General features: G+C 46.1%; 1 protein-coding gene, 1 long non-coding RNA gene and 1 other non-coding gene across 4 annotated transcripts, besides 2 other annotated features; 2 read left to right on the plus strand and 1 right to left on the minus strand.

Annotated features, from left to right (window-relative positions):
- The first annotated feature begins 590 nt into the window (after positions 1 to 590).
- On the plus strand, positions 591 to 695 carry MIR4330 (microRNA 4330). Its single transcript, NR_036256.1, has one exon. It is a non-coding gene; the product is annotated as a microRNA 4330 (primary transcript).
- Positions 6,648 to 7,617: an enhancer, noted in NCBI's record as "H3K4me1 hESC enhancer chrX:150342751-150343720 (GRCh37/hg19 assembly coordinates)". NCBI's record gives its function as "activates a minimal SCP1, AML or CMV promoter by ChIP-STARR-seq in naive H9 embryonic stem cells {active_cell/tissue: H9 hESC(naive)}" and the evidence as "EXISTENCE:reporter gene assay evidence [ECO:0000049][PMID:30033119]".
- Positions 7,567 to 10,205, minus strand: GPR50-AS1 (GPR50 antisense RNA 1). Its single transcript, NR_135300.1, has 3 exons — positions 9,746 to 10,205; positions 9,164 to 9,244; positions 7,567 to 8,639 (listed from the first exon to the last, which is right to left on the minus strand). It is a non-coding gene; the product is annotated as a GPR50 antisense RNA 1 (long non-coding RNA).
- Positions 7,618 to 8,586: an enhancer, noted in NCBI's record as "H3K4me1 hESC enhancer chrX:150343721-150344689 (GRCh37/hg19 assembly coordinates)". NCBI's record gives its function as "activates a minimal SCP1, AML or CMV promoter by ChIP-STARR-seq in naive H9 embryonic stem cells {active_cell/tissue: H9 hESC(naive)}" and the evidence as "EXISTENCE:reporter gene assay evidence [ECO:0000049][PMID:30033119]".
- Positions 8,953 to 15,225, plus strand: GPR50 (G protein-coupled receptor 50). 2 transcript variants are annotated; one of them, NM_004224.3, is made up of 2 exons: positions 8,953 to 9,277; positions 12,140 to 13,834. In NM_004224.3, exons 1-2 carry the CDS (start codon positions 9,091 to 9,093, stop codon positions 13,804 to 13,806), a joined length of 1,854 nt encoding a protein of 617 aa, NP_004215.2. In that variant the 5' UTR covers positions 8,953 to 9,090; the 3' UTR covers positions 13,807 to 13,834. The 2 variants fall into 2 exon arrangements, with proteins under 2 accessions (NP_004215.2, XP_011529518.1); XM_011531216.3 differs by lacking the exon at positions 8,953 to 9,277 and having other exon boundaries at positions 12,353 to 12,461; positions 12,695 to 15,225.

Here is a 20,752-nt window from a genome sequence, read left to right on the forward strand (position 1 = left end):
ACTACTTGAGTTTTCTGTGAAAGCCAAAGGACATCTCCAAGTGGAAGGAAAGTCATAAGAATGTGTTTTTTTATTTTTTTGTTTGTTTTTTCATTTTAGAAAATGTAATGTGTCACAGTGATATGGTTTGACTCTGTGTCCCCACCCAAATCTCATCTTGAATTGTACTCCCATAATTCCCATGTGTTGTGGGAGGGACCTGGTGGGAGATAATTGGAATCATGGGGGCGATTTCCCCCATACTGTTCTCATGGTAGTGAATAAGTCTCACGAGATCTGATGGTTTTATCAGGGGTTTCCGCCTTTACATCTTCCTCATTTTTCTCTTCCCATTTTTCTCTTGCTGTCATCATGTGAGAAGTGGATTTCACCACCCACCATGATTCTGAGGCCTCCCCAGCCATGTGGAACTGTAAGTCCAATTAAACCTCTTTATCCTCCCAGTCTCGGGTATGTCTTCATCACACAGTGAGAACAGAAAGCAGACAGTGAGAAGCATACTGGCGACGTAAGGCAATTTTGACTAGAAAGTGGAACTTAACTATGAACTATCTGTTTCAGAGAGGATAGAAGCACCAGAACTACTAGCTAATTGTCAGCAGGCAATTATCTGAGGATGCAGGAGAGGAAGGGGGCTTCTTTTTGACGCCTACTTCATCAGCTGCTCCTCAGATCAGAGCCTTGCAGGTCAGGCCAGAGGGGAGACTCAGGAAGTGTTTTTGGTGTTTGTTCCAAATGGGGGCTCATTGTGGGCCCTGTGTCACTGGAATTACAATATCTGTTCAATCTAATTCCCTGGGGCTTTAAGTCTTACAAATTGGCGCTGGCCTCAGCAATGAAAAAAATAGGTGAAGTCTTGGAGTCTTTTCGACCCAGGCTAGTGTGGGATTGTTTCCTCATTTGCATCCACTTACAGAAAGTTCCAGTGATTTCCTTTGGTGACTCTACAGCCAAATGAATGGTCCTGCTAGCGTGTTTTATTGCAGTTTGTCCTTTTGCTTCTTTAATATTCCAGACAGACACATCTCCCCCCTGGGCCCTCCACACACTTTCCTCTCCATTCCAGTAATACTTAGCTTGAGGAGGTGGTTCCTGTACACACAATTCCCCACCTTTCACTCATGGGCCTCCCTCTGACTAGAATGGATACAGATGTAATAAGGGAGTCCCAACCCTCTGGCTTAGGTGACAAAGCTATTTCAATAAAAGTATACTTTTTTTTTCTGACTGCTCGTGTGTTATAACATCATGTGAAAATGGCTAGATAGATGTTGTCTGCATTTGGAGGTAGCTTTATAATGGTCAGACTCAGAAGATATGTTACATGGAATATACAAAATTGATTTGGGGGAGTCCTGGGAAGGACCCCCAAAAGCTAAGTCTTCCAGGGCAGCTGCAATTGAGGTTCGGAGAGAGACTCACCATACCTACAAGATGGCATGGATACAAAACACACAGTCGTTTCAAATATAAGCCCAATTCAAAACAGTATGTACATTCCTCAAATGCCAGGGGTCAATTTGCAAACTGCTACGTACAGGGGCGATTCTACAGTAGCGTACTACTCAGGCAAACAGGAGACAGGCATGTTTCTAAGAATGGGTTATGAATCTCCTGAGCAAACAGAGGAGGCTGGCTAAAGCGAGTAGGAAATATATCAAATCAGTATCCGCCAGAGGCAGATGGCAAGTTGACAGCCAGAACTGGGCCCCTCCAATCCTGAATCAATAGTTCCTGCTCCCCAGGGTTGACTGAGCCCCTTGCTCGGGGGAAGGGGAGAAAGAAAATCCCATTACCAACCAATGCCAAGTCCTCATATTTGGCTCATTTAGGGTCAGCTACAGGTGGTCCGCAGCCATAGAGCTGCCAGATAAAATACACGGCCCCTGGCTAAATTTAAATTTCTGATAAACAGTGGACAATTTTGAGTATAAGTATGTCCGAATATTGCATGGAATATACTTATACTAAGAATGTACTTGGGATTCAAATTTAACTGAGCATCCTGTATTTTTGATAAATAGGCAACCCTACTCAGGCAAGCCATCAGGATGAGTTTGGCAGCAGGAAGGTGGCCATAGTCAGGCCTCTGGTTGCCCTGTTTTCAGGGAGCTGGTCAGGTTATTATCAGGCATTGGGCTGGGAACCCCATCACCAGAACTGTGATAGAGGGTAGGGTTTAGTCTGAGGGTCAAAGCAAGATCTTATACACTAGAACAAGTTTATAAAGTCCCAGCAGGGACTAGTATATAAACCCTCAAGAGCAAACTCAGCAGGAGTCACTGGATGACAGACCTAGACATCCTTAAATTGCCAAGGGCTAGGGGCAGGGCTGAGTTAACAGCAGGATTTCTCTAGAAGGGATTCCTGGGCTGCTTGCATTAGAATCACCTGAGACACTTGGGAAACATGCAGATTCCAGGGCCCCGTACAGACCTGCCAAGTCACACTCTCTAGGGGAAGGCCTAGAAAGCTGCAATTTCTTAATACTCCTGGCTGCTCTGTCATGCACTAAATTTGAGACCCAGTGCTCTAGAGCCAGGAACCAGGTGTGGCCTGCAAATAAGCCATGAGGCACAGTGGTTAAAGCACAGATTCTGGAGCCAGACTGCCCAAGTTAGACTTCTGGCTCTACCACTTATTACCTGTGTGACCTGGGGCAAGTGACTTAACCTCTCTGGGCCTCACTTTCTTCATCTGTAAAGCAGGCATAGTAATAGTGCCTATTTCATAGGCCTATTGTGAGGATTAAATGAGAATATATGAGCAAAGCACTCAGAACAGTCTGGCATCTAGGAAGCACACATTCATATGTGTTAGCTATTATTAGGAGCTGAGTGGACCTGCAGGGTTCGCAGAAAGAGGACTGGTTTGGGGCTTAATGGGTACCCATGGCCTATGTCCTGCAGTGGGGTGGCTGAAGCAGAACTCACAGAGCAAGTGGAGGAGGGCTTTTTGCATGAGAAGTCATGAGGATGATTAATAAAAGGGACAGTCGTTAAATGCACGGGTGATCATGCTTGGCTAGAATGAGAAGCTAAGAAAATGGATATTGTTCATTAAGCTCTAATTAGCAGATAAATTGTACAAGGGGAAGGGAGTCCAAGTGTTACTACAAGTAATTAATGTGCGTCTTCTCTCCCTGGTCACCCTTTGATTTGAACCACCTAACCTGTAGTCTTTATCAGACACTAAGATCCTGGAAATACTGGCTGCTAATTATTTTGGTGAGCCCCTGATTGCACTAAAGGAAATGCATGTGTCCTGCTCTCTCTAATGACTCAAGCACAAGGAGAAGATAAAGTGGTTCTAACCATGATGAATTAAGCCTGGGGGATTTGGAGAGGACAATCATTCTCTCTGTTCATTTCACAAATGTGAACGGTGTCTCCAAGTTGGTAAAGTAAATGTGACCAGACGCAGTCTGATTAGGAAAAAAATCAGTACCTGTCCCAAACTGCTCTTGAGTTGGCTAATGTTGTGACTTGGCTTGTTCTCGGTTCCAATGACTTCATTCCTGCCTAAATCCCTACTCAGTTCCTTTGAAGATTCAACCTTACCATTGGAGTCTTGGCCCCACTTTCGACCTGGAACCAGAGCTCCCTTAGCCTGGACTGGCCCCACGCTCCGTTGAAACCCAGTTTCTCCTGCCTGAGCTCTCCCAGCCACCTATGCACTTGGGATCTCACCTATTTCTAGGCCAACCATACTTCCTACTTTCATACTGAAACGATGTAAAGGAATTTGATTGTTCTTTCTTGTGGAAAAAGATACAAACTGTGTCAGTGAAGCATCTCGGGGGTTGTGGGGGGCAGTGAAAAGGCAAGTCACTCTGTATGTCCCTTTCCATCTGACACACTCACAGGGGCCTGGGATGCTAGTGTGTGCCCATTGGTTGGCTTCTGCCAGGAATTGGAGCCTGGGTGTGCTAGGTGCAGAGTCTCCTGATATCGCAGAGAGCCCCTGTTCTCAATGGAAGTGCAACAGAGTAGAGTCTAGACAGAGTATTAGAAACTTTCAGGATAATAATCATGATAATAGCCAGTGGTTTTTGAATGCTTTTTCTGTTCTGGGTAGTGTTCTCAGTGCTTATATGCATTATCTCATTTAACTTTCCTATCAACCCTATGATGAGGCACTGTGATTATCTGCATTTTATAGTGAGGTGGCTGAGACACAGAGACGCTAAGTAACTTGCCCAAGGTCACATATCTGACTAGTAGTAAAGCTGGGTTCTGGGCTTGTTTTTACTTTCAAGAATTGAGTCAAATGTAGTCCCACTTCATTAAGCTGCTGGGATGGGAGGAGCAGGAGGGGCAGGGCCTGGATGGGTGAAGCAGCCAAGAGGCTCCTATGTAACTTCCTATGAAGAGGTAGTTGTCTCCAAACATGTGGAAACAAATTGAGAATGTTCTGCTTGTATTCAAGCTGAAAGACATTTTCATTCTTATTGGGTTTGCATCAAATTCTCATTTTGCTAGTCTTATACATTAGAGTATCAACCAATGGTCCCATGTAGCTTTAACAAATGATCTAATAAATTGAGAGAAGCATTGGCCAGAGAAAGTTGGAGTGCTTGGAACAGGCCTTGGCTGGCTGTCCAGCTCCACCTGGGGGAGACGGGAGGTGTGAGCTGGCACTAAGAGGCCCTCTGCCTGTCTAACTTGGACCAGGGTTGCTTGGGGCTAAAAGAGAGCCCAAAATGTTCATAGCAGCATTATTCACAATAGTCAAAAGTGGAAAGAACTCAAGCATCCACCAATGAATGAGTAAATGAAATGTGGTGTATCTATACAATGGAATATTATTCAGCCATAAAAAGGAATGAAGTGTTGACCTATGCTACTACATTGATGAACCTGAAAACATTATGCTAAGGGAAAAAAGCCAGATGCAAAGGCCACATATTGTGAGATTCTGTTTTGGTGAAATGTCCAGAATAGGCAAGTCCATAGAAAGTGAAAGCAGATTTATGGTTTCTAGGAGCTGGAAGGTGGCGGGGAGTCTGGAGTGACTACTAATTGGTATGAGGGTTCTTTTTGGGGTGTTGAAAATGTTCTGAAATTAGATAGTGATGATGATTGCACAACTTTGTGTATATACAAAAAACTACTGAATTCTACACTTTAAAGGGTGAATATTATGGTATATGAGGTATATGAATTACATCTCAATAAAAACAGGCAAACAAACAAAAACCAGAACAACAGCAACAAAAAAGAGAACACAAAGTCCACACTATTAAGACCCAGAGCAAAACACCGTCTTGGCCGGACGCGGTGGCTCACACCTGTAATCCCAGCACTTTGAGGGGCGGAGACGGGCGGATCACAAGATCAGGAGATCGAGACCATCCTGGCTAACATTGTGAAACCCCGCCTCTACTAAAAATACAAAAAATTAGCTGGGCGTGTTGGCAGGTGCCTGTAGTCCCAGAGCTACTCGGGAGGCTGAGGCAGGAGAATGGCGTGAACCCAGGAGGCAGAGCTTGCAGTGAGCCGAGATCGCGCCACTGCACTCCAGCCTGGGCGACAGAGCAAGACTCCATCTCAAAAAAACAAAAACAAAAACAACAACAAAAAAACAAAAACAAGCGAACAAACAAAACAAACAAACAAACAAAAACCACTGTCTGATGAAGCTGGGTTGTGGGAGAAAGACCTTGAGCTGAGAGGGAATCCAGCCTGGATTTAAGCCTTGGCATGACCTTGGACAAGTTCTTTCACCTCTCTGGGGCCTCAGTTTTCTTATCTATTTAATGACATTGTGAGAAAACATTTTCCCAATGAACTTTTGAAAACTATAATATGCTTATTTAAAACTGTACTCACTAGTTACAAGCAAGGCATTATTATAGTGCTGGAGGGTTAAACAGAGAGCTTAGAACGTTTGATAAAAGGTAACCTTCCATCATTGCCGATGTAAATCAGGGAACTGAAGATGCAGGCAGTACCCTCATGTGCTCAGAAGGATTACCCATTCCTGAGCAGAAACTGCTCACTTGCCCTCTCATTCCTCTGGGAATATTCCAGGTTTCCTCTATTTGGATTGGATATCTTAATAGCTTTAAAATCTCAAATAAAGGGTTTATGTCCACTCCAGTTATTTAGGGCTTCCTAACAAGCCTTTTAGAAAGAGACTTAATTAAAAATCCAGTGGAATCTTAAACCATGCACATTACACTCTATCCAATAAAGGACTCCCCCTTAACTCTTCCAAAGCAATTGAACTTACTGCACGAGACTTGTTTTGCCTTTGCAAACAGGGACCGATTTTCTCCCTCATATGTATCCTTATAACTGATTCAATATCTGATTTTCTTTTTTCTTTTTTTTTTTGAGACGGGGTCTTGCTTTGTCGCCCAGGCTGGAGTGCAGTGGCGGGATCTCGGCTCACTATAAGCTCCACCTCCCGGGTTCACGCCATTCTCCTGCTTCAGCCTCCCTAGTAGCTGGGACTACAGGCGCCCGCCACCACGCCCGGCTAATTTTTTTGTCAATATCTGATTTTCTTAGTACTGGGGCCATGTTCAGAATCTTTATTAAGACGAGTTCATAAAAATAAGAAAATTATTTTAACCGGATACATAATTCTGTCCCCCTAGATCATTAAAATATTCACCTTTTCCACTTGTCTAGTATTGAAAAACCAAGTCCCACCAGGTCACAGTCAAGTAGTGTCCAAGCAGGGGTAGGGGCCAGGGAGTCAGCTCACCCTTGCTCTCCTGCCTGCTCCTCAATCCCAGGGATGTTCAGGCCACATCCGCGGGGAATTCCCGGGGGCTCTAGCCACCTCATCTCAGAAGTGCAGTACACTGGAGTGTAGCAATGCCTGCAAGGTTTGCAAGCTCTCCTTACAGGTTTGTTTGGGGCAGGGGGAGTCTAGTGTCTTAAGTCACTAGAAGGTGTGTTTCGTTTTTTCCTTCAAATGTATTTTGTTTACTTATTTGAATTCAAAATCGCCCCTTCCCACAAGTGAAGGGATCCAAACTCTCGGGGAACCAGCAAGAACAGCCTGATGTGCATCCTACAAAATACTCCACTGCGCGGACGGGCTTTTGACTGACAGCCTCTTTACAGGGCGCACAGCTGTGTGGGGAGGACAGCGGAGCCCCTTCACTGTCTGCACTTACGGAAAAAAATGCGAGCGCGCGCGGCCGGGAGTTCCAGCCAGCGAGGGGCAGTGAGATAATGAATGTGAAAAGCCTCCAGGCGGGAGATTGTAATTCGCGCCGGATTCAGTTCACAGACGCGAAAGCCGCAGGATTGGGGTGGGGGCTTCATTTTCAAACAAGGAGACACATTTCCAGTTTAGGCTTTATAGCTAGAGACAGTGTGTGCAATCTTGGTTTTCAACAGTGTCTGTTTTTTTCGTTAAAGGTATCTGAATGTTGAAGTTCGTCGCGTAACAGGCCCCTACTACCTACCCCGCCTTGTCCGTCCCCCCACCCACCCCGGGGCAAGAGGGCTGCTGTGTCCAGACGATGGCGCTCCCGGCCAGTGCAACCCCTCTCCCCTACTGTGGCAAGAAGACTAGTCTGGAACAAGTTTCAAGGTGTTTACTGAGATTTTGAAAGGCTTCTCGACAGGAGCCGTAACTTTTAGTAGCCGGCAGAAATCCATTCCCGTGACCAAGGTTATTGAGGGAACGAGTGTCCGAATCACGCCCCTTTAGTTTTGCCCGAATATTCGAATTTTCCGTGGTCCCCGCGGAGCGAGATCCTGGGCGCACCGCAGGGGAACTGTGACGCACGGGGACAGAGATCCGCGGTGTGGAGGGCGAGGGGGGAGGCCTGAGAGGGATGGGGTCGAAACGAGAACCCCAGAAGGGCATGGGAAAGGAGAAAGACCGAGAGGAATCCTGACTGAGGCAGGGATCGCCGGTCAGCCAGAGGCTTCTTGGTTTAGCCGCGTGACACCTCCGCACCTTTCCCGCGGCTGCGGCGCAGCTCCTTCAGCCTTCCTGACTGCCCCGTGCCGCTCAGTAGAGAATGCCGAGCATCCCGAGAGGGAGAGGCGTCAGAGCCTCTCGTCCTGAGTTTCCTTGAGAAGCGGGGACCCAAGAGAAGAGCTTTATTGCCTGTTTTACTTTTTCCCAAAGCGTCCCTTGGCTTCCGCCGCCTGGCTGCCGGCAGCTGGAAAGGAGACGAGCTCCCGCTCCCGTTCGCCCCCAAACTGAGGACCGAGTGGCCACCAATGCCTTCCCTAGGTCCCAGGGTGCAGACCCGCTCCCCACTTCCAGAGTCGGGCGCAGGGTACATCTCTTTATGGAGAGTGCAAGACCTGGACCGGACTGAGCGGCTACTCGCAGCTGCCGCTAAGGGAGCCAAGAGGCTCCTGGCGAGAAAGGGAGCGGGGTTAAGTTCCCTAGGGATTAGGGACCCAGATTGGGGGTGGGAGCTCCCAGCAGTAGTCCCCTGTTCCCCGCGGGACACAGAAGGCTCTAGACAGGCAAGGGCATGGGGCGTGGGATGGACCTCACAAGGATACTTGCAGAGGCAAGCATCTAGCGTTCAAGGGGCCACCGGCTATCCCCTATACCCTGCTGGGGGCTGTGGACTGGCTTGGTCTAGCACTGGATCCTATGAAAGACTCTGTGCTCCGGCTCTGCAATCTACATCTCTTTGCCAGGTGTTTGCACTGGAGGAGAGAGGGAGAAGAACTTGCTAGAAACGAATGCACAGGGGCTGGTGGAGGGGGTGTGGGGTGGACTCCGAGCTAGTCATGATGCTTGCAAGGTACCTGGGAGATTGAGAGGCAGGGCAGGCTGGCTAGAGAGGAAGTACATACAAGGCAGTCGGAAGCAAGATGACACCTCAATGTGGATTTGTCCAATAAGAGGGGGTAGCCAAGGGGGGGGTATTCAGGGAGGTCTGATTGGTCGGGGGGAGGGATTTGGGGTGGGGCTAGCCGCCTCTTGAGGCTTTAAAAGCTCATCGGAGAGGGGCGGGATGCTGTCATTTGCTCTCTGACTCTCAGAGAGGGAGGCACGCTTTCCTGGAGCTCCTGGTGACAGAACAGGTGTTTGCTGTCTGGACCTGGCTGCTGATCCTGAGCCTGCTGGGAGATCTTAACGATCCCCAGGAGCAACATGGGGCCCACCCTAGCGGTTCCCACCCCCTATGGCTGTATTGGCTGTAAGCTACCCCAGCCAGAATACCCACCGGCTCTAATCATCTTTATGTTCTGCGCGATGGTTATCACCATCGTTGTAGACCTAATCGGCAACTCCATGGTCATTTTGGCTGTGACGAAGAACAAGAAGCTCCGGAATTCTGGTAAGCCACCCCTTCTTCTCCCTACCCAGTGTGCAGAGACTTGCAACCCCTAGGGCGTTAGTTTTTGAGCTCCCCGAATAGAGAATCTATGGACAGTGCCCTCATATTGAACATCCCTGCTCCCAAATTCCCCGCAAGCCTGGGGGTGGTAGTATTCTGTCCCGGCCCTCTAAACGTGGAGGTTCTCAAGGCCGAGAGAGCACAGAGAATTAGCTTTGGGCATCCAAGTACAAAGCGTTCCCGTGGTGCGCGGCAGCCCGAGGATCCCTGTCCCGTCGGGGCCTGATGCGGAGGGAGCCGGCACCCGAGCGGGAGAGTCAGGCGATTCGCCCGGGGACAGCAAGCCGAGCCGGACGCCGCAAGGGCGGCCGCGCTGAGGCAGCGCGGACCGAACTGACGCGGAGGGAGCAGCGGGGCTGCGACCTGCTCTGTGAAAGTTAAGTTCGCGGCGGCCGCGGCGGCCCTTACCAGAGCGCAACGCAGTGGCCTCTCCCTAGCCGGGCCAAGAGCCCGCTCGCCGCGGCCCTGGGGCTCCAGGACGGCTCCCGGGCAGATCCCGGGCGGCGGAGCACAGACCCCCGCGCCCGAGAATCGAGCAGGGAGGTCTGAGCCCGCCGGAGCCGAGCTCCGTCCGCCCGTCCCAGGGCGAACGGCAGAGAGAGGCAAGCGGCGGGTCGGGCACAGCAGGCGGTGGCAGCGACGGCGGCGGCAGCGGAGATCCCAAGGTCCGTAAGCGGGGAACTGGGGGGTCGCAGGGCGGGCCGGCCAAGAGGCTTGGGAGCTGGGCGTTGCTGGGGGTGGAGGGATAGAAGGCAGCAAAACCGAGTAGGGATTGGCGGGAGGGCGACGGGAGAGCTCAGAGGCGGCGATGGGGGACTCAGAGAGGCTGCAAAGGGCTGGGGTCTGGGAGCCGCAGGCGGGACTTCCCCCGCTGCTAGCCACTGCCGAGCGGGAGGAGGCCGGGGGCCGGGGGCCGGCGGCGAGCAGGGCAGGAGGGAAGCGTGGGAGGATGCCGGGCGCTGCGACCTGTGCTGGGGGTGGGGGCGGCAGACACTGCAGAGCAGCTAGTCCGGCTTACAGGTTGGGCGGGAGAGGGCTCTGGAAGGGAGGGGAAGGGGCAAAGGCGCCCAAACTCCGAGTTCAGGCCGGGGGAGGGAGGGGCGGCGCCTGGAATTTCCACCGCCAGATTCTCGATCGGCTGGGGCTAGGAGTGGGGACCGAAGGGGGTCTGAGAGGGTGGGGAGACCAGCTGGATTCTCCCGGGCAGGGCGTGGGGGAGAGGTGGCGGCCGGGGTCTGGGGGATTACTTTGCTTGGGCAAGGAGTCACGAACACTGAACAAGTTTAAAAACGCACTGACTGGCACACAGTCATTAAAAGTTTTCTTACAAAGTCTGGTGGGTGTCTCCGATTTCTCCTTCGTCTCCTGGAATCGTGGGGCCATACACTAGGTCTTCACCTTCACCCCCGCGGTGCGGTCCCGAGGTGCAAACCCACGGAATCCTGGGGGCGACCTGCGAAGCCCATTTTATTCCCTTTAGATTTCTTTTCTTTCTTTTTCTCCTTCTCCTTCCTTCCTTCTATAATTCAAATAAAGGCTTTTATGGTTGTTGTGGTTTTGTTTTTAAGGCTTTGCCCCTTCTCTTTTCGGCTGTATTTCCCTGAATTCATTACTCTGCCGGAAAACCATAGAAAGAACCTCTTCGGTAGAAAGTGCTGAGGCCGAGTGCTGACAGCGCTGGAGGAAGGAGGAAGAAGGAGCCATACCTTTGCCCTTTTCAAAAGCGCTCATTTTCTCCTAGTCCAAGATGAAGTGCAATATTTTGCCAAACCAATGCTAATTAGCAACGAGGTGTCTCCAAAGAAAGAGGGCTCTGCGCCTGCACCTGGCCTCTTCCTTCTCTTTTTTGTGAAAGGTTTTACAAAAAAGTTCCCACCTCAGCCCTACAAGACCGGAGTGGGGGTGACCCTTCTTCTCTATCCTGTTTAACCTGAAGGCTCCAGTAAAGTTCAGTGCCCGGCGCTGGGAGCTCTGTGCAGGGCGCTGAATGTGCCAGTGCGCGGCTCTGCGCGTGGACGTGGACGCGGCATGTAACTGAAACAGGCACTTCTGCTAATCCTTGCAGGATTTTTTCTCCTCCCCCCCACCCCCGCCCACCTCGCGCCACCCTTCCCGCCCGCCCTCTCACTACTTCTTTGGTCTCAGACTAAATTTTACAGGGCTTCCCTGCTTCCCCTCAGTTTTCACTCTTAGGTTACCTCGGAACGGTAAGTATTTGACTTGGCAAGGTTTTAGGTTACTGCTTGATCCCATCGGAAAAGACTGTTTAAGAAGATGGCCTCTAATGCCTTTTCTCAGAATCTTCTCTCTAGTAATGTGTTTATTATAAATGCAATGCTAGGCTATAGGAGGGAGATGGCTAATTTATCTTTTTCTAATTATTTAATTATTTTTAATTTTTTTAGTTTGAGGCTTCCTGACATCCCTCCAGTGTCTCTCCTTGCCCCCCACTCTCCAGCCTCCTTCCTAAAAACAAGTCCCTCTAGCTCACCTCTACTCCCCTCCTCCTTCTCCCTCCCCCTCACCTCCAGTGAAGGAAACGTTTGCATTTTGTTTTTCTCTAAGATGGTGGCAGCATGACCCTGTCTCATTGTGAAGGCTCCTGGCAGGGATTTTGTGCTCACTGCTGTCTGTCTTATGTTCGCTTCTTTCTCAGAGCATTTCTTTAAAAGAATTCTGGAATTATAAAAGGTCATAATCCAGCTGGCCTTCCCCTGCACCTTAAATGTGTAGATTTCTGTACTTAAACCACTTATTCTTCTCTGTCTTTCCCCTTTCTCCCTCCCTCGATATGTTTTTCAGGCAACATCTTCGTGGTCAGTCTCTCTGTGGCCGATATGCTGGTGGCCATCTACCCATACCCTTTGATGCTGCATGCCATGTCCATTGGGGGCTGGGATCTGAGCCAGTTACAGTGCCAGATGGTCGGGTTCATCACAGGGCTGAGTGTGGTCGGCTCCATCTTCAACATCGTGGCAATCGCTATCAACCGTTACTGCTACATCTGCCACAGCCTCCAGTACGAACGGATCTTCAGTGTGCGCAATACCTGCATCTACCTGGTCATCACCTGGATCATGACCGTCCTGGCTGTCCTGCCCAACATGTACATTGGCACCATCGAGTACGATCCTCGCACCTACACCTGCATCTTCAACTATCTGAACAACCCTGTCTTCACTGTTACCATCGTCTGCATCCACTTCGTCCTCCCTCTCCTCATCGTGGGTTTCTGCTACGTGAGGATCTGGACCAAAGTGCTGGCGGCCCGTGACCCTGCAGGGCAGAATCCTGACAACCAACTTGCTGAGGTTCGCAATTTTCTAACCATGTTTGTGATCTTCCTCCTCTTTGCAGTGTGCTGGTGCCCTATCAACGTGCTCACTGTCTTGGTGGCTGTCAGTCCGAAGGAGATGGCAGGCAAGATCCCCAACTGGCTTTATCTTGCAGCCTACTTCATAGCCTACTTCAACAGCTGCCTCAACGCTGTGATCTACGGGCTCCTCAATGAGAATTTCCGAAGAGAATACTGGACCATCTTCCATGCTATGCGGCACCCTATCATATTCTTCTCTGGCCTCATCAGTGATATTCGTGAGATGCAGGAGGCCCGTACCCTGGCCCGCGCCCGTGCCCATGCTCGCGACCAAGCTCGTGAACAAGACCGTGCCCATGCCTGTCCTGCTGTGGAGGAAACCCCGATGAATGTCCGGAATGTTCCATTACCTGGTGATGCTGCAGCTGGCCACCCCGACCGTGCCTCTGGCCACCCTAAGCCCCATTCCAGATCCTCCTCTGCCTATCGCAAATCTGCCTCTACCCACCACAAGTCTGTCTTTAGCCACTCCAAGGCTGCCTCTGGTCACCTCAAGCCTGTCTCTGGCCACTCCAAGCCTGCCTCTGGTCACCCCAAGTCTGCCACTGTCTACCCTAAGCCTGCCTCTGTCCATTTCAAGGCTGACTCTGTCCATTTCAAGGGTGACTCTGTCCATTTCAAGCCTGACTCTGTTCATTTCAAGCCTGCTTCCAGCAACCCCAAGCCCATCACTGGCCACCATGTCTCTGCTGGCAGCCACTCCAAGTCTGCCTTCAGTGCTGCCACCAGCCACCCTAAACCCACCACTGGCCACATCAAGCCAGCTACCAGCCATGCTGAGCCCACCACTGCTGACTATCCCAAGCCTGCCACTACCAGCCACCCTAAGCCCACTGCTGCTGACAACCCTGAGCTCTCTGCCTCCCATTGCCCCGAGATCCCTGCCATTGCCCACCCTGTGTCTGACGACAGTGACCTCCCTGAGTCGGCCTCTAGCCCTGCCGCTGGGCCCACCAAGCCTGCTGCCAGCCAGCTGGAGTCTGACACCATCGCTGACCTTCCTGACCCTACTGTAGTCACTACCAGTACCAATGATTACCATGATGTCGTGGTTATTGATGTTGAAGATGATCCTGATGAAATGGCTGTGTGAAAAATGCTCTCGTAGGTGGCCAGGCAGTGGTCCCCTTTCTAGTTTGTTTTGCATATGTAATCCAAAGTGAGATGCCTTACTGCATCTAGACACAGACACTGACACATAGAGATGGTGTAAGCTACATCCACCTTTCAGGCGTACTCATCCTTTACTTAATGTACTGTATTAAAGTGTGTGCGTGGGTGTGTGTGTGCTTGCTATTTTAGAGACCTTAATTTCCCTCAAGTTTGACATCTGTTGTTCCAAACCTCCCTTTCCAACTATGGTCGACCTTCAGTCCTCAGTGATCCTTGAAATTTTAGACTTTGATTTTTTTCCCACTCCTCTGTCCCTCCTCCCCTTTCCTCATTTCCTCTGCCTTGTTCCTGCTTTCTTCTCCCATTCCCCGAGGGGGTTGGGAGAGGGGTATGTGCGCAATGCTAAAGGTGTGTTGTGGTGAACGCTTCCGTTAATGTGACTGCACAGCTTTATGTTCTTCAATGTGTAACTCTATATTGTACTTTTAATAGCAGTCAGAAAAGCAGTTGTGATCAAGTACAAGTACTGGAAAGTTTCTTTCCTAAATTTCAGCAACAACATATGACCCATATTTGAAGAATACAATTTGATAAGCTCTTATTAAAAATACATTTTTTATGCCTATGAGATCAAATGGCAAAAGGAAAGATATGGGCACACCAAATTATTTCTATTTTTTGAAAATTTGAACATTGGTGCTTTTTATAGTCAAACATGGTTGCAAATGATAAGACGTTTTTACCTTATTTGTAATTATTTACCTTTTTTAGCATTTGCCGGGATTTTTTTTCATTTAGTTCCAGAGAAATAAATCCATTCATAAACTAGTTTCTTCTCCTAAAATCCAATCTTACGGTTGCTAGGATCAATTATGGTAATATTTTTAATATTATAAGTCATAACTACTCTTTACTGAAGATTTTGTTTTTTAAACAGCCTGGTGTTTTTACAGTTTTTGCATTATTGCTTTCATTCAAAAGGGAATTTGAAGTAATAAATGGCAGCAAGAAGCGAATTGAATACTGCTGGGAGGTTGTAAATGAGCATTCCTCCCGGATGGGGAGGGGGGCAAGGAGAAGAAAGAGATGCCTACACCAATCAATCCTACCACACATCCGACATCAGCCAATCCCACCACACTTGGCTAAGGTTCAGTGATACACGATGTTAAGTCGTAGATGTCTTTTATTAGCACACTTGACAGACCAGGAAATGATTTTTCTCTACAATTCAAGAAAACTGCTGTTTAATAAAAATTTCAATTGCTGATTCAAATAGACACTTTAAGCAAAGTTTACTGTATGAAAGCTTGTGAGGATAAGTGGAAATGTATTATACTGCCTTAATTCTATTCTGTATTTGTGGTAGCAATTAAATAGAAGTGTTTTTGTGGCTTTAGTTTGTGGTTTGTGGATAATTTCATTTCTCCACTGGAGTTACTTATGGGGAGGGTGTACAGGGTGAGGGGTGGCAAAACATTGACCTTGGGGGAATCAGAAGACTTGGGTGCAAGTTCCATCCCTGCTACCAGCTTGCTGTATGCCAGGGCAAGTCCCTTGACCCGTCTCACCTCAGTCCCTTTACTTAGCAAACTGTGGAGAGGTGGTGGGGAGAGGGGAGCATGCTGGGATTGCTACGTTCTTCACACTAGTGCAGCAACGTTGGATGACCTGACCTGCCTGCTCTTGGATTTCTGAACTGTACCAGATATGGCTCTGAAAAGAGACCCCTCTTTACTCCCCTGAAAGGAGTGAAGCCAGGCCCCAAAATGTCGTGACCCAAAGCCTTCTGGAACGAAGAAATAGAGCTCATGAGGGAATGGGGGAGGCACAGGAGTGAGAGGCAGGAGGGCCGGTGGTTTGCTCTCCAGCTCGGAGGTGGGTAGCAAGACCCCAGCCACTGGGCAAAGCTCCTGATCTTAGGAACACAGTTTTAAAAGAATCTCTGACAATAAGGAAATGCTAAAAATACACTGCTCAGCAAAAATCAAACTGAATTCAAAGCAATATACAGTAGGACATAATTTTACAAAAATATGCATACTTAATACATGCACATATAGACAAACAGTTACGCATATGCAGCTGTTCTATCCAGGCTTTCCCAGGCTGTGAGTATAGATAGACTGAGGTCATCTTAATTTTTAATGCCCGAGTTAAAGTGTTTTGAGCCATCAAGGGCTGCCTGCCTGAGGGCTGCCTGCACCCCTGTGCCAAATTTCTGTGCAGAAAACATAACTAAAAGGGATGTTTATTCATGTACTTACAAACTGGTTACGGTCAGCTCCCCTATCCATCTTTTCCATGTTCTTACTCTCCACTCACACCCAAGAAGTTGCTTTGCGTGAGACTGCAAGTGTCCAAACCAAGGGTACTGTGTCCCAATGCTCCAAACTGCCACTCCGCAGGGGTTTACGGGGTGCAAGGTTTTGAAAGAAGATAAGAGAGGTGACGAAAATTATCTGCCATTATTACAACTTTGTCCCGCAATTTTCCCCCGGTGCCTGAAGCAACACCGCTCACACCAAGTCTCCTGAAAGTCATACCAAGTCTCCTGAAAGCCATACCAAGTCTCTTGAAAGCAGTCACTTCGGCCATCTCTGCTTATCTCCTGCAGCTGCACTCATCAAACTTGCCTGCGCCACTGCGCCCCGCCTCCGCCTCCGCGCCCATAATCACCTGGACAGGAACAAGCAGCACTTCCAGCCCAATTCCTTCTCAGTTCCTTCACAGCCCAGAAACATTTTTTATTCTGCCCCTCTCTCCCTTATCCTGTTCCCCTTCACTCTCAAAAGGCATTAAGCTTCCTAAACGCATCTCTGATTTACCCCGCCCACTTTGAGTGACCAAGGCAAGAAGCTGAATCTCTGCTCCAGGTTTAAGGTTCCCCCTGGAAAAAATGCAGAGCTTCTGGCTTTACAGCAGTGAGAATGAAAGGGCCAACTTTGCTGACTTCCTCAAAGAGAGAATCTGCCTCCAGGTGAGCCTAAATCTCCATAATCAAAGGATTTAAAAAATGCAAGCAACTTTTAAATGACAGTTTTTCCGAGTTTCTCCTCGTTTCTTTTTAAATGGAAATATAATTTATATACTGTAAAGTGACAGCCTGACTTTTTTTTTTTTTTTCCTAACATATGTATACATCCATGTAACTACCACCCTGGCCAAGATATAGGTAGCCCTCCAGGAAGTTCCCTGTTGCCCCTTTCTAATCAAATGGAAGCATACGGTATGTATTCTTTTGTGTCCAGCTTCTTTTTAAAAAAATTGTGATAAAATATACATAACATAAAATTTACCATTGTAAACTTTTTGAATGTACAATTCAGTGGTATTAAATATATTCACATTGTTGGGCAACCGTTACCACTGTTCATTTCCAGAACTACTTCATTATCTCAAACTGAAACTCTGTACTGATTAAATAATAACTTCCCTTCCCCTTAACCTCTGGTAACCACCATTCTATTTTCTGTCTCTATGAATTCACCTATTCTAGCCACCTCATATGAGTGGAATCATACAATGTTGGTCCTTTTGTGTCTCGCTTCTTTCACTTAGCATAATGTGTTCAAGGTTCACCCATATCATAGCAGGTATCCATACATTATTTTTTAATGACTGAATAACATCCCATTCTAGAGATATACCAAATTTTGTTTACCCGTTCATGCATTGATGGACATTTTGGTGGTTTCCATTTTTGGCTGTTGTGAATATTGCTGCTATGAAGATTGATGTACAAGTTTCTGCTTGCGTCCCTGCTTTTCACCTTTTTGAATATATACCTAGGAGTGGAATTGCTGGGTCATGTAGTCTAGCTTCTTTTGCTCAATATTATGTCTTTGAGATTCATCTATGTTTCTGTGTATGTAAGTGGTTGGTTATTTTTCATTTTCATAAAGCATTCTACAATATGAATATATTACAATTTATTTATTCTACTACTAATGGATATTTGGGTTGTTTCCAATTTGAAACTATGATAAAAATGCTTCTATAATCATTTTTGTACATGTCTTTTAATTTAACTTTGCACTGAGGTATAATTTTACATACAGCGAAGAACACTACTTCAGTGTCAAGCTCTACTTCAGTAGAGAGCTCAACAAATTTTAACATATGTGTACACCCATGTAACCACCACACATATCAAAATGTAAAACATTTCCAGCACCCCAGAAAGCTCTTTTATGCCAGAGTAATTTTGCTGGTTTACTGAATTTTATTTAAATTGAAGCATACAGAATGCATTCTTTTGTGTTTGTGTTGTTTTCTTCATCATTTTGTTTGTGAGATTTATCCATGTTACTTTAGGTATAAGGAATTCATTTTCTTTTATTGTTATGTAGAACTTCTTTGTATGACTATACCACCACTTTTGAGCTATTCTACTGTGGCTGAACATTTGGGCTGTTTTCCAGTTTGGGGCTTTTAAGAAACCTGTTATGAACATTCTTGTACATGCCTTTTGATGCACATATGGACTTATTGCTCTTGGAAATATACCTAAGCTTGGAATTGCCGAGTCGTGAGTATATATGTACTTAGTTTTAGTAGACACTGCTAAATATTTTTCCAAAGTTGTTTGTATTCGTCCATTTTCATACTGCTATGAAGAAATACCTGAGGCTGGGTAATTTATACAGAAAAAGAGGTTTAATGGACTCTCAGTTCCACATGGCTGGGGAGGCCTCACAACCATGGTGGAAGGTGAAGGAGGAGCAAAGGCACGTCTTACATGGCAGCAGGCAAGAGAGTATGTGCAGGGGAACTGCCCTTTATAAAACCATCAGATCTTGTGAGACTTATTTAATATCAGAGAACAGCACAGGAAAAAACCGCCCTCATGATTCAATTACCTCCCACCGGGTACCTCCCAAGACACCTGGGGATTATGAGAGCTGTAATTCAAGATGAGATTTGGGTGGTGACACAGCCAAACCATATCATTGTTGAACTACTTTATAGTCTCACTAGCAAGGTATGAGAATTTGAGGTGCTCTGCATTCTTGCCAACATTTGATATTTTCAGCCCTTTTTAATGTGAGCTATTCTAGTGGGTTTCTAGTGCTATTTCATTGTGGTTTCAGTTTGCATTTCTCTAATGAGCAATGATGTTAATCGTCTTTTTACATGATTATTGACCATTTAAATATTTTCTTTATTGAAGGCCCTGAACAAATATTTTGACTATTTTAAAATGGAAGTTTCTGTCTTTTTCTTATAGACTTGTAACAGGATATGCATGTGTATATATGCCAATTTCATGAATATCTTCTCTCAGTTGGTGGTTTGCCTTTTTGCTCTCTTAATTGTATCTTTTGATGAACAAAAATCTTTAATATTATAAAGTTCAATTTATCAGTTTTTCTGACTGTGCTTTGTGTTTAAGAAATTTCTGATTATTCTAATATAATTAATGTATTCTCCTAATTTTTATTTTAGAAACCTTATAGTTTTGCCTTTCACGTTTAAGTCTATGTTCCATCTCAAGTTAATTTGTTTGTGTATGGTGTGGGTTAGGAATCAAAGTCCATGTTTTTGTATAGCCAGGGTTCATATTTTCATTTTATCACCATTTATTGAAAAGACCATACTTTACCCCACTGAACTGCAGTAAAGACTTTGTTGCCATTTAGGTAATCATATATAAACATGTCTCTCTTTTTATCTCTTTGTTTCTGGACTGTTTATTCTGTTACATTAGTCTATCCTTGCACCAATACCACATCGTTTTTAAATTTAATTAACGATAACTTATATACAGTTATGTGTACACATATCATGTACAGTTAAATGGATTTTATACATATATGCATATTTTTGTAACCACCATTCAGATGAAGATATAGAACATTTCTAAGACCCCAGAAGGCTCTTTCATACCCCAACTCAGTCAATACCTCCTTTACAGTTAATTAGTGGTTGAATCTCTATTATCACAAATTAGTTTTGCCTGTCCTTCATATAAAAGGAATAATACGTGTGTAGGTTTTTAAGTGTAGCTTCTTTTGTTAGATGTTATAGGTTTTAATTTACTTCTTTTTTTTGTTTCAGATAGGGATCTCACTATATTTCCCAGGCTGGTCTCAAACTCCTGGGTTCAATTGACCCTTCCATCTCAGCCTTCCTAGTAGCTGGGATTAGAGATGTGAGCCACTGTGACTGGCTCTCTTCTTAAACATTACGTTTTTGAGATGCATCTGTGTCGTTGTATGTTTCAGCAGTTCTTTTTAAAAATTTTCATAGAAAGGTTTACTGATGTGGAATAGTTTCAATTTATATTAAGTTGAAAAAGGCACGTAATAAAATGGTATGTAATTTTGTTTGTTAATAAAACCAAAATTAGTATATGAAAAGATGGTATGTTTTTAACACTTTCTATAGTAAATAGCTCTATCTATCTATCTGTCTATCTATCTATATTTACTATCTTTTTGAGACATATATTTTTATTGGGGCATAATTCATATAGTATAAATTTGGTCATTTTGAAATGTTCAGTTCTGTGTTTATAGTATTTTCACAAAGTTGTGTCACCACTAGAACTATTATCTAATTCTGAAATACTTTCATCACTGCGAAAGAAACCCTGAAACCATTAATGTTCACTCCCCATCCCCTTCTTCCCCATGGCAACTACTAATCTTTCTGTGACTATGGATTTATCCATTCTGGATATTTCATATAAATGAAATTACATAATATGTAGCATTTTGTGTCTGGTTTCTCTCATTTAGTATACAGTTTTCAAAATGCATCTATGTTGTAGCATGTATCAGAATTTCATTCATTTTAAAGGTTGAATAATATTCCATTTATATATACATCACATTTTGTTTATCCATTCATCTGCCAATGAACATTTAGACTTTTTCCACCTTTTGGCTCTTATAAATAATACTGCTGTAAACATTGGCATA

The sequence above is a fragment of the Homo sapiens genome, chromosome X, assembly GCF_000001405.40.
Source record: "Homo sapiens chromosome X, GRCh38.p14 Primary Assembly".
In the NCBI taxonomy this organism is placed as follows: domain Eukaryota; kingdom Metazoa; phylum Chordata; class Mammalia; order Primates; family Hominidae; genus Homo; species Homo sapiens.

What these genes read in the sequence shown, in the direction of transcription:
- GPR50 (NM_004224.3), top strand. Translation starts at nt 9,091, where the DNA reads ATGGGGCCCACCCTAGCGGTTCCCACCCCCTATGGCTGTATTGGCTGT. An exon ending in CAAGAAGCTCCGGAATTCTG is followed by an intron (nt 9,278 to 12,139) that starts GTAAGCCACCCC and finishes TATGTTTTTCAG; the next exon opens with GCAACATCTTCGTGGTCAGT.